General features: G+C 44.5%; 1 protein-coding gene across 5 annotated transcripts in view, besides 6 other annotated features; it reads right to left on the bottom strand.

The window, feature by feature from the left end:
* The window catches only part of ETS1 (ETS proto-oncogene 1, transcription factor), a 128794-nt gene that overhangs the window by 84205 nt on the left and 32250 nt on the right, over positions 1–12339 (bottom strand). The gene's annotated exons all lie outside the window — the stretch shown is intronic.
* Positions 8040–8581: an enhancer, noted in NCBI's record as "NANOG hESC enhancer chr11:128420904-128421445 (GRCh37/hg19 assembly coordinates)". NCBI's record gives its function as "activates a minimal SCP1, AML or CMV promoter by ChIP-STARR-seq in naive H9 embryonic stem cells {active_cell/tissue: H9 hESC(naive)}" and the evidence as "EXISTENCE:reporter gene assay evidence [ECO:0000049][PMID:30033119]".
* Positions 9463–9532: an enhancer, noted in NCBI's record as "active region_5724". NCBI's record gives its function as "activates an Ori minimal core promoter by ATAC-STARR-seq in GM12878 lymphoblastoid cells {active_cell/tissue: GM12878}" and the evidence as "EXISTENCE:reporter gene assay evidence [ECO:0000049][PMID:35858748]".
* Positions 9645–9734: an enhancer, noted in NCBI's record as "active region_5725". NCBI's record gives its function as "activates an Ori minimal core promoter by ATAC-STARR-seq in GM12878 lymphoblastoid cells {active_cell/tissue: GM12878}" and the evidence as "EXISTENCE:reporter gene assay evidence [ECO:0000049][PMID:35858748]".
* Positions 9936–10436: a transcriptional cis regulatory region, noted in NCBI's record as "chr11:128422800-128423300 region (GRCh37/hg19 assembly coordinates) targeted for CRISPR interference". NCBI's record gives its function as "positively regulates ETS1 gene expression in GM12878 lymphoblastoid cells {active_cell/tissue: GM12878}" and the evidence as "EXISTENCE:mutant phenotype evidence [ECO:0000015][PMID:33828297]".
* Positions 9945–10204: an enhancer, noted in NCBI's record as "active region_5726". NCBI's record gives its function as "activates an Ori minimal core promoter by ATAC-STARR-seq in GM12878 lymphoblastoid cells {active_cell/tissue: GM12878}" and the evidence as "EXISTENCE:reporter gene assay evidence [ECO:0000049][PMID:35858748]".
* Positions 10215–10324: an enhancer, noted in NCBI's record as "active region_5727". NCBI's record gives its function as "activates an Ori minimal core promoter by ATAC-STARR-seq in GM12878 lymphoblastoid cells {active_cell/tissue: GM12878}" and the evidence as "EXISTENCE:reporter gene assay evidence [ECO:0000049][PMID:35858748]".

A 12339-nucleotide genomic window follows, 5' to 3' on the forward strand; every position in this document is an offset into this window, starting at 1 on the left:
CAGGACCAGCCTGGCTAACATGGTGAAAACCCGTCTCTACTAAAAAAATACAAAAATTAGCCGGGCATGGTGGCAAGCGACTGTAATCCCAGCTACTCGGGTAATCCCAGCTACTCGGGAGGCTGAGACAGGAGAATTGCTTGAACCCTGGAGGCGGAAGTTGCAGTGAGCCCAGATCGTGCCATTGCACTCCAGTCCTGGCAACAAGAGCGAAACTCTGTCTCAAAAAAAAAAAAAAAAATTATTTAAAGAGGTATTTTTTTATAATAATTTATTTTTCAAAATAAACTGAATGTGATATATATGCACATAGAAAAGTACTAGTTCATAGCCAGGAAGAGCGAAAAGATTATGCATTTCAAAGCTACCAGAACAGCATAGATTCTCTCCCCCATCTTTGCAGCAGAACTTTCCCTTCTGTTAAACACAGGGAAAAATGATCACTCTCTACCTGCCCATTCTGACATAGACATTGGGAAGTTTGGAAAATGAGAAAAGTAAGTGACCAGTAACTATGGGGGAGGTGCAGAAGTACATTTCAGACCTTCCCTCCTTAGCCCCAAAAATCTACTGGTTGAGTTTTCATATCAGCATGCCCAGCTCATGCCTCCTTTTTGTCTCTCTCACTGCAGCAGAATTAAAAGATTACTCTCACACTCAACGTCTCTCCTTTCACATCTGGCCTGCTCTTTCCCACTCAATAATTTCCTAAAGCATTCCCTTAAGTTCCTTAAGTTCCCTTAAAAGGTTGTGAAAATTTTATCTTACGTGATCGAACCAGAAGGATAATAATAAAAAAATTACTCATACTCCTTCTGAAATATCCTGAAAGATATTTGAGAGGAGAGGTAATTTATAAACTCTAATAATGGATTTCAGAGTCATATTTTCCCCTCACTAATCTAAATCCCTGTTTTTCCATTTAATCTCATTGTGTTCTTAGTCTTCAGTGGATCTAAAAAACAGCTGTTGACTCCCTGATGACATTTTAGGAAGAGTTAAGTCTACACTTGTATTTAATCTTAATTAATTTTATACTTAATTCCAACTCACTGCTCACCTGAAGCTCAATGTCTATGAAAGATAAATGAAAACTCTGAAGAGGAAAAGTCAAGCAAGAGATGTGTGGATACATGTTCTAGCAATTAATGGTATGGTACTATTAAAGCTGAGTATGTCCAAATTATGGAAACTGCCCTAAATGTCATAAGAAAGTCAGTTCCTTGTATACTTTATAATTTAAATTATATTAAAAGCTCTTTGAGATAAAAATAGGCATAGAGCAAACTGTTTCTTCAACTGCTTTAAAAACCTGTGAGATCAGAAAGGAATTTTGAAAGGGCAGATGAAAAAGTGATTAATTGTTTACTAATATATATATATATATATATATATATATGGAATTTCCCTCTTCTGTAGCCCAGTTAGTAGGGCTGAGAGATGCAGGCAGCCCTAGGGAAATGTAGGGAAATGTGGATAAATGTACTGAAGCTACAAGCCTAATCCCTGAGCCCCTCACCCCTGCCTTCTCCCAGTTCTGCTCAAAGACATTGCAATTCCATTCTTTTCCAAGGCTCTCCCTCTCCCCGTCTCCAGAGCAGCAGCTCTGCATCACATTGAGTTTAAAATAAAGAAATGCTTTTCCTAAAGAATTCGCACACAAATAATCTCATTACCCCAGTGCTTAGGTTTATACAGCAGACGTCTTCTGCCAGGAAAAGGAAAAAAAAAATGCACTCTACACTCACTCACACGGAACAGCTGCGAGGAGAGAAATGGTATTTAATTCATTGTGAAATATTCAACAATGGCTACACTGCACTTTTAAAAGCCTTTTGATAGTAAAACCCACAGGGAACAGCCCATCCTGTGTGCTGAAAAGCAGCTTCCCCACAATTAGTCTCTCTATTCAGAGGTCTGGGAAGTCTGTGTAAACTTCAGCACGTGCTGTGTACACTGTGGGTAGCTTCAAGGGTATAACCTTTCAGAAACTTCTTAGGGTTTAGTCTTGCTCAGTGACTCTGTCTGCTCACGGAGCTGGCTGGTTGGGGGTGGGGGGGGCAGTGTAAGGGGACAAAGGGAGTATGATGCTTAGGTGAAGAGGTAAGCAAACCCTCTAGACCCTAACTGAATGCCCAACAAAGGAAAAACCATTCTCTGGAGGAGCTTTGCAAATTATCAGGCTTCCTTGTGCCCTTAAATGACCAATATGGGACTCCAAGAAACCACAGAGAAGATATAAAAGAAATCAGGTAACAGTGTCTTGTTTTCCCTTTTACATCCCTGTGGAATTTTCATGGGTCTCTGCTTTGTGGGAAAGCTGGGAAAGTTTATCGATTCTTATCCCGGAGGTGGGCAATTGTCACAGCAATGAAGATGTGAACAAATGTTTGGGCAGGCAAAATGTGTATGGTGGTTAAGAACATGCACTTTGGAGGAATATTTACATTTAATTACCAACCTGCCTCCCAGAATTAGTTAGGCTTCTTTGGGGAGGTAAGTTGACCTCTCTGAGTCTTATTTATCTCATCTGTAAAATGGGAATAGTATCACCCTCACAGGAATATTGTAAAAGCAAAAGACCACATATGTGCAATCCTCGGCATACAGAAGGCATTTAATGAATGGTAACCACTGTACCTCTCAAGCAGCTCTAGAAGAACAGGCCTTCTTTTGGACTTTCTGGAATAAGATTACTAGAATTAGAAAAGAATGGGCTATGAACTATTTTTCATCTCTATTTTAATTTACAATTGATCAGTTAAGAAGCAACATAGAAATATGCACAGATATCTAACAGGAAGTTCCGAGGGATCTAAACCATGTTAAAAACACAACAAAAGATTACAATTCAAGAAAATGTGGCATCATGGTGGTTGGTTTTATTGTTCAGAAACTTTAAATTCAGAGTTTTTAAAGCCCAAAGTATTGATGAGATGTCCAAATATTTCAGGTATGGTTGAAGTGAGCACAACAACTTTCTGTTATTTCTAATCTGTATTCAACTCTCCAGGAACAGCCCACAGGCATTTCTGTCTCAAGGAGCTAGCCACTTTCATTATAAAACCCAAAATTCAACCAGTGAACATTCACCAGGACGCAAGCTCTAAGCCCTGCTCAGCTAAGAATATCCACCTGATATATTGACCAAAGATGAAAATGCTAAGACATTGCTGGGAAGTTCAAAGTAGTTGACTTGGGTTGGGTAATCTGTCTAGACTGGAGAAGTCTGAAAATGGCCTCCTCTTGTCTAAGTGAGTTTGTAGCAGTAGATGTTAACAGTCAATGGTTCCAACAGAAGCTAATGATCAGAAATGAGGGCTAAGACTCCAAAAGAATGACCTTGGTTCAGAGGCAGTGCACTGAAAGAGTCTGTAGCATCCAGGAGTTTTTCTGCCATAGTCATTCCTGTATACAGTCTCTTGGCCATGAGGGATTGGTTCCAGGAAAACCCCTTGCCTAAGATACCAAAATTCATATACGCTCAAGTCCCTGATATAAAATGGTGTAGTATTTGCAAATAACCTATGCACGTCCTCCCATACACTTTAAGTCATCTCAAATTTACTTATAATACTTAATACAATGTGAATGATATGTAAATAGTTGTTATACTGTATTGTTTAGGGAATAATGACAAGAAAAAGTCAGTACATGTTCAGTACGGATGCAAATATTCTTTAAAAAAAATTTTTTTTTTGCTCTGAAGTTGGTTGAATCCATGAATGCAGAACCCATGGATACGAAGAGCCAAGTGTACATTGTTTGCAGGGGGGAAGGTGTTAGCTCTGAATTTCTGCACCCCTATCCCCTTTAGGGGCACTATTTCTACATCTTTTCTTCCCTATATGACATAAGGATGCTGGGGAAAATCTACTGTGCACTAGAAAGGCCATGAGACGCAGATCATAGTGTGACTTTTCTGTGGTGCTTTGACACAGACTGAAGCTCCCCATCCCTACCTCCAGCTCACTTTAGGGAGGTCCCAGGTCCACAGTTTTCCTGGGGTGTTTGCAGAGATCATCCTGAGGAGCATGAAATAAAGAAATATGTTAAAGAAAAAGGAGAGATCTGGCTAGACTTTGGGCAAGGCTGCAATGCTTCTGTCTCAGAGACAATGGAATGGAAACAACTTCCAGATTTAAATACACTCCCTTGGGACTGACCAGAGCAGGGAGAAGGGATTTATAGGAAGGAAGTTTATACCAGAGAATTCATCCCAGTTCAACAAAATGTGCACTGCGTACTCTAGAAGTACAATGTGCTAAGTGCCGCAGGAAGGTACAAATGTACCTTTCCCTTGGAACAGTAGTTTTTAACCTCTTTGGGAGTCTCAGACAACTTTGAGAATCAGAGGAAAGCTACAGATCCTTAGAAAAATTTCTGCACAAAATTTCAGCAGGATCACACTTTCCTGAAACTCTCCTGGGCAAGAACCCCTGCTCCATGAGAAACAGCAGGTCTAAGACATGGCAGAAAGTTGTCAAGATTGATGTTTTAAAAATGTATGAGGTATGTAAGATAGCCAGTAAAAATGGCAAAGGCAACTGGAACTCTGTAGCTACTTAAATCACTGGTATTTCTGCCTCTCAGGCACTACTTCAGCAAGTCTCAGGAGGTATGGAAAAGACTGATGACACAACTTTGAAAATTGGTGGCTTTGTTTTTTTGGTTTTTTTTTTTAATCCCACCTAACAGAGATCCCAAAGTCCTGTTTTCTTAAATAGCAAGAAAGTTTGAAAGAGGCAAACAATTCTTCAAAGGTCATGAGGAATCTAACTAGGATGTCCAGGAATGGAGTGGGAGAAGCGTATCCCTATTTTTAAAAAATAGGGATGATGGGGAGGGTGTGGCCAACTGACTAGATCAAGATGTGGGGCAGGGTCTGGACTGAAAGCTGAGGGGCCACTCACACTGGCAGCTTTGGGGACAGCCAAGGTTGCCCCATGCTTCAGTGGGAAGGTGATTTTTCTCAGAGTGCAACTACATTTCATGTTTGACTGATGACCTCTGTCCCATGAGCTATTTATGCTCTTCAGACAGCAGTCAGGGAACAAGACAGTGAAGATGGAACCTGGAGGCATTCAATAGGGAAAAAAAGAGAGAAAGAAAAAAAGAAAGAGCGAGGAAGGAAAGGAAAGGGAAGGAAAGGAAAGGAAAGGAAAGGGAAGGGAAGGGAAGGGAAGGAAAGGAAAAAGAAGAGAGAGAAAAAGAAGTGGGGGAGTGAGAGACGAAGGAAGAAAAGGAGGGAGGGGAACCCCGGGCAATTACAGTAATGTATGAAAAGGTAACCTACGAAATCAGAGTTAAGAGCCTTCTCCACGCCATGCCTGGTGCTTTGCCATTTCCACATTCAATACGTTTTTTTTTTTTTAATTTCTTCCTTCACAGTAATTCTGTGAGGTGGGCACTATTATATTACAAATGAGGAAACTGAGGCTCAGAGGGTTCAGTGATTCGTCCAGGGTTGCACAGCTGGTGGGTGGCAGAGCTGAAACCTGTGCCCCAAACAGCCCTACCCAGCTCTCTTGATCCTTTGTTAAACGGTAACGACACACACTCTTACCTATCTCTCTATGTCCCCAACCTATCTGGAACTCCCTGTAACCTCTTGCAAAACTAAATCTAAGCCCAGAATCTCTTCTGTTCCAACCGTCTATTTCTTAAGCCCCGCTTGGGGCCCAGGCGCTGCCACAGGCCGAAGGGCGAGGTTCGGGCCGAGGCAGCCCACGCCCGTCCTCTCCTCCCTCCTCTCCTGGGAGTGGAAAGCTCGTCCCGGGACGCCCCAGCTCCGGGCCGGCTTCGCCTGCGCCCGCGTTGCTGGCAGCGCCGGGGTTAACCCTCCCGCCCTGCGGAGCAATGATTTCTGTTTTATTTCAGCAGGGGAAGTGTGTGCTGCCTGATTAGCCTGATGGTTTCCTCTTTTCCCATAACCTCCAGACCCCCATGGCCCAAGTGTTTACTCTCTGAAATAAAAAATCTGCTGGTGTTTTTCTTTTTGTGTGCTCGTGTATTTTGGGAGGATTGCAGGGGAGGAAGGCGGGGTGGGGTTAGGGACCGGGAGGCTGGGGGAGGGGAGCGGGCCGCCTCCTCCAGCTGCAGGCTCCGGGCTGAGACCCCTGGCTGCAGTGCAAGAAAGCAACTTATTAATGAGGGAGCTGGGTCTCCTGCCTCGGCAGCTATAAACACAGTGAACATCTGGAGAGAGAGCCCGTGTCTCTAGGCGGCCAGACACAGCACTACAGGCTGTCCCTGCGGCGCAGCCCGCCCCCACCCTCCACTCTCACGCGCCCCTCGCCCCTCGCCCCTCGCCCCTCGCCCCTCTCCTGGGCTCCGGCTCCCACCTCATCGGCCCACCCGAAGATGTCCATTCACCCAGTGCCGCGGCCGGAGCCGAGCGGGGCCTGACGCCAGCCGGCGGCGTCCACCGTCCCACCCCCGTGCGAGGAGTTCCAGGAGAGGGGTCAAACTGCTTGAATCGCATAAGAACCCGGTGCCCCAGGGACCTTTTCCCAACTCGGACCAAATATTTGTGGTTTGAAAAAGTTGAGAGAACGTTTTTTCTCTCCGCAGCCCCCTGGGAGTCCCAGCGCAATGCTGTTACTTCCTAGGATGTTCGAGAAGCTGCGAGTTCGAGGGCGGGCCGGCGGAAGGCTTGCCTTTCCACTGTCACTCCACGAACCCAGCCCAGAGGCTTCGGTTTGTCTGTCTTGGTTTCCTTCCTTCCCGGGGACCTAAAGGGGTGATTTACATTTGTAAAGGCCTTTCCAAGCCCTCCTTCCTCGGGGCTGTTGGGGTCACTCCTGAGAGCATGGGGTCTCTGGTCTCTAACCTGGGTGTGCAGCTCTTTCTGGCCCTCACCAGGCTGGCCTCTCCTTTGGCTGGTGAAATGAGGCACAGTGGGCAGATGCTAGCACATTAGCCTTGAGCAAGATAAGAGTGGGCAGGACTCAGATGTGAGTGGGCATCTGGTTTCTTCGATTCACCTAAATCCACACTCACACCATGGCGAAAGGAAAAAGAAGAAAAGCAGCGTTTATTTATTGGTCCCCTGCGATAGGCCACGACCTTTTAACTATACTACCCTCATGCAGTGGACACAAGAACTCTTTGGAAAGAGTGTATTTCACCTGTGAAAGGTGAGGGTTGGGAAGCTCAGTGGACTTAGCCAAGGCCGAAGGCCTGTACCGGGATGTGCTGCTGGGGTCTTGAGGCATAGGCTGGCTCTTCCCACAACACCAGGCCAAACCCTCTGCTTAGACTTAACACTCTTCAATTATACTCAAAATGTATACCAAAAGACCTTGTAATCTGAATATGAAATAGTACCAGCTCAAAAGCTACCAAGGCAGCAGGAGGTGGGAGGAAAAAGAAAGAGGCCATGTAGGAAGCAGGAGCAACTTCAGTCCACAGCTGATCAGAGGCATGCCCTCCACTTATGGAGAATAGGGTCAGGCATTTGCAGAATCTCAGTATCAGATGAGCAAACTGACAGAGCGAGTGTGCGGGAGATATTAGGCATGTGGACTCTCCCTAGCGGACTGCTTGGGCTAGGCTGGCCTTGCTTTCCTTCCTCTTTCCCTGGCCCTCTCAGAGATGGGATGGGGATATATGGCAAGGCTGTTCCTGCATCAGGCTTCTCTCAGTACTCTCCCCTGGGAGTAGCTTGTCAGGGCAGCTAGGCCCCAACCTCGGCCTTCTGTGAAAGGCTGGAACCTCAGGTAGGGTTACAGCTTGCTCCTCCCAAACAGCACAGCCATCCAGGCAGAATCCAAAAAGGTCCATGTTTCCCCATCTCCCTTAATGTTTGGACTTTATTTAAAGACAGGAGTTTAATTCCCTAGTCTTGTCCTAGAAAATAGTTGGGCATTAGCATAGACAGTTCCTCACTGAGCTAGAAAATTGAAAGAATAAAATAAAATAAAGAGACTGGAGTGGCCCAGTTGTGTTTCTAATTCACTTTGCCTGGACTCCCTGTAAGTCTTCTCTAAGAAGAACCGTCCAGCCTTTTCTCAGGGACAGCATTAGTCCAATATTGTAATCGTCCAATGTTACAACATCCCTAAAGCACACACACTCTCAGGACCGTTCTGTTCTGAAGAACAAAGAACCTGACACACACCCTTTAGAAAAGAAAAGCACACCCTGAATGAGGAAAGAAGAGAGGGGTGCAGCAGATGATAGTCTGAAACACCATTCTGTAAAACCACAGACCTGCCATAAGAATAAACATTTCAGAGCAAGGTGAGTCTCCATTTAACAAGTCTCTCTGGCACTCCCTCAGCGCTCTCAACACTTAAAAGCCAAATTGGAGGCATCTGTGCTTCCTGCTGAGACATCCCACCTGGTTGTGGATAGCCCTTTCCAAACACTGGCCCAGGTTTGATCTCTCCCAGCCGCTAGGCCATATGAGAAAGCCCCAGGAGGGACTATGAACTCGGAATCTCAGCGTATCTCCCACTTGAACTTCCAAAGTTTATTTGGGAAAGACATTCTTTAGTTCCACCATTTTGTTAGTAAATTTGTTTTAGAGATTTTAGTGAGATCCAAAGCCACACATTAATACTGCCAAACTTTATGTCATAAATAAGTGTAATATTTCACATGGAAACCATTTGCTCTAGCATGTAAATGTACACCCACACACACACTTGCATAGAAGTTGTTTTAAAGGAGAACTGAGGCTTCCCCTTTTCCATGTATTTTCTCAGTATCCCGGGCATGGCACTGGTCACCAAACGTGTTCAACCAATCAGTGGGTCACTCTCTGACTCAATGAAACCCAGTTTGGACTCCCAAAATGCACTTTGGGTCAATGAGTCATAATAGCAAATATTCATATCAGGCTTGCTAAGTGACGGCACTGTTTTATGCTTTACACATACTAACTTAGTGGTTCTCAAAGTGTGATCTCTAGACCAGCAGCATCAGCAGCACCTGAGAACTTGTTAGAAATGCAAATTTTTGAGCCTTAGCCTAGAATCACTGAATCAGAAACCCTGGGGGTAGAACTCCATAACCAGTGTCTTAACAAACCCTAAAGTGATTCTCATGTACCCTGGGAGTTTCTGCTTCGATAAGTCTGGGGTACGGCTCGAGATTTTGCATTTCTAACAAGTTCTCAGATGATAGTGATGCTGCTGGTCTGGGGACCATGCTTGGAGAATCATTGGTATAGATCCGGAAACTGGGTTACAAGATTAAGTTGTCTAAGGTCACACAGTTATAACGGAAGAGCTGATGCAAACACAAGCAACCTGGGTCCAGCGTCTGGGTTCTTTCCTACTACACTAAATAGATGTCCTTTCTCATGAAGAATGGGAAGTGGCAGATAGGCTGTGAATGTGGTTGAGTGAAGGTTTTACTGTGTTCAGTGACCAAAGACATAGCAAACTGCATTCTACAAGAAAAAGTATTGTCTTGTTTCTCAAATCAATCAAAGACCATGGTAATAAGACTATAGGTTCCTCCTCATGAAGGTAAGTTGTGTTTCCTATGTTCTCTAGCTCCAGGCTGCTTCCCAGCTCTAAGCAAGTATTTTGCAAAAGTGTACTTTGCTCACAACATCACATCCATAAGTTTGGCTGATTTCAGACAAATCCATCCTTGAAATGAAAAATAATTTGATACTATAACACTTTGGAAGAGTGCTAAGTAAGCATCGTATTTTCTGATATGAACTATGACCATTCATGAGCATCATAAGGGTGAAGTTGAAATCAAATATGGACCGCTGGCATTGATGGGATGGACGAGGTCTTGTGTCCTGTGTGCTCAGCTGGGTCTCTGATGTCGGTTTTGGAAAACAGGCAGTGTCTGACTTCAGCTAGGTCTAGGCACCACTCTGAGGCTCGCTACCGTTACCCTGTGTATCCAACAGGACTGTGGGTAGGAACCAGTCATGACAGTTAATGACGGTAAAACGTCAGTGAGCTCTTAGAGACAGGAGCAAGAAACTGAAACGTAAAAATGATTCTTGTTATGGTGGTTGGAGAGAAAGGGCTGAGGTTGAGGGACAGAATAGAGGAAGGGAGCAGAGAGGAGGCAGGGTCAGTGGCTCCACTCCAGTCAGACTATAAACAGCAACAGACATTTCAGCCGTGTCTTGTGTAAGAGGCTCCATTGATTCACAAGGTTCCCTAACAGAAGGATGACGAGAAGCTGAGACAGAAAGGGCCCATTCATTCATGCAGAACACCAGCACTCAGCCCCATTGGCTCTCGCTAATGGCTCCAGGCTGATAGGGAGGAGGGGGAAGAGGCGGACGGTAGGAGGAGGTAGAAATGAAAGAAAATGATGACTACAAGATTGTTGTGAAGAAATGTACAGCTGCACAGGCAATTGCATGCAAATGTGGCTTCCCTTTTTAGCTGTATAGCTAATGTCCTCAGATTCATCTATTTTTCTCTTTCATGTTATCTTCCCCTCCTGTTCTTGCCTTGTCTTTTTCTGGGCTCCCCACTTTTTTTCCCTTTCCCATTCATCTTTCATCTTCCTTTCCCATTATTCCCTACCATGCTACTAATATCCACCTTTATTTTCTGTCCATTTTCACACATCTCTTCTTTCTTCCACCATACCCGCTTTATCATCTATTTTGTCCAATCGATTCCCGACAGACCTTGGCGCTTTAGTATTCTCTCCCACTCACCTGATAAGTCTTTCCCTCATTCATACTTTCTCTCTGCTTGATTCTCTCTTCCCCTTCCCTCCACACTCCCGCCACCCTCCTCCTCCTCCTCCTCAGCCTCTGCCCCTTCGTGAATAGGAACAACATTCTGAAAAGGCTTGCTCATTCCTTGATGGCCCCTCCTGTCAGTGTTCTCTGCACTGACAGATGTGTAGTCCTTGGAAAAGAAGTTCATTCATCCCTTCTGAGAGCATGAACGTGAAGGGGGAGCAGTGGTGGGCAGTAGCCATGAGACGGAGGACGGGAAGGAAACTGAAGTTATAAATAGGATAAAAGAAGATGAAAAAAATGTCGAGTATTTTTTCTCTTTCTTTATATTCAACACATCTCCAAGGAAATGTACCACAGCTGGAGAAATCACTGGTTGGTCTATGTCTTCATCTCCCTTCCCTATAACCCCACAATCCCCGTCCAAACAACACCCATCGCTGAGGAGAGCTGGACCACAGCCCAGAAATAATCCCTCCAACTCCTTCGTCTGGGAAGCTCAAAAGTTAAAGGAGGGGCTAGAAAGGCTCAGGGTTCTTGCCAAACATTTCCATCAGAGGGAGTATAGGACAGTGGGAACTACAACCATCACATTTGTGAAGAGATTGCCCCCAACTGGTAGAGGCCACACCCCGATGGAAGCTGTGTACCATCTCTGAGCTGCAGTTGATGGCAACCCAGGTCATTCTAGGAATGGTTATTATATGCCCCAATCTTCTCAACCTACCAAAAGCTGGGGTGACCCCAGCTTCCTTCTTGCAACTATAAACTATGAGAAGAAGATGATATTACCCTGCTATAAGTCCTTGCATTTTAAAGCTGTTCTTCATATGCTTCCCAGACACTGTCTCATAGGCCATGAAATAAAAACATCTTTACCTTTGAGAAACTTGACAAAGAGCAGCATGAAAAATCATCTCCACTTGGGAGTTTATGTACTTCAGTTTAAGGAAAAGGAAGGCCATGTCTCTTTGCTATGAAGAAGAGACATTCTGATCTTCAGGCTATGAGCAAATGGAGAAGGCCTCAGATGTTAATAAGATGTAACTTGTAGCAAGCAGAGACCATCGAGAGCTGCAAGTGTTAAAGCAAGGCAGCTTTAATCTCAGTTGCATTGGGAGATATAAGACTTAAGCCTTGTGGCATTAATAGGATTCAAGAATTATACAAATATAAATACAGCCATTTTGACCTTTTGCTTATACAAACAAAACCTATTTTGTTTAGAATTTTAAAGGATCACTTTTCTCATGTCCTCAAATTTTTAGTCCTTAAGTCTGACGTGTGAGCAGGTACAAAATCCTCCTGGCTCCCTTGTGAAATGGATAGGTAGCTGAGACATTTGTATTTATGCTTAGAAGAACTGAGATACCAAGCAGAAAGTGACAGCATAAATATTATTATGTCTACAATCCAGGACAGTGCCAAAGAATACCTCAAAGATCAATGGCTATTGAGTCAAGGGAACATGGGACACAGGAATCTATTTCATTCTGCCCTGGAGAGAAACCAGGCAAATGGAAAGCTACTCCCCATGCCTCCTCACCCACCATACACACAGCCCATGGAGTGCCACAGCATCTTGCCCTGCGTCTGTTTATTCCTGATGAGCAATAAAGCATGGGCAACAAAGCAAACATTTATTTTACTTCTCCACTGTT

Source organism: Homo sapiens, chromosome 11 (assembly GCF_000001405.40).
Source record: "Homo sapiens chromosome 11, GRCh38.p14 Primary Assembly".
In the NCBI taxonomy this organism is placed as follows: domain Eukaryota; kingdom Metazoa; phylum Chordata; class Mammalia; order Primates; family Hominidae; genus Homo; species Homo sapiens.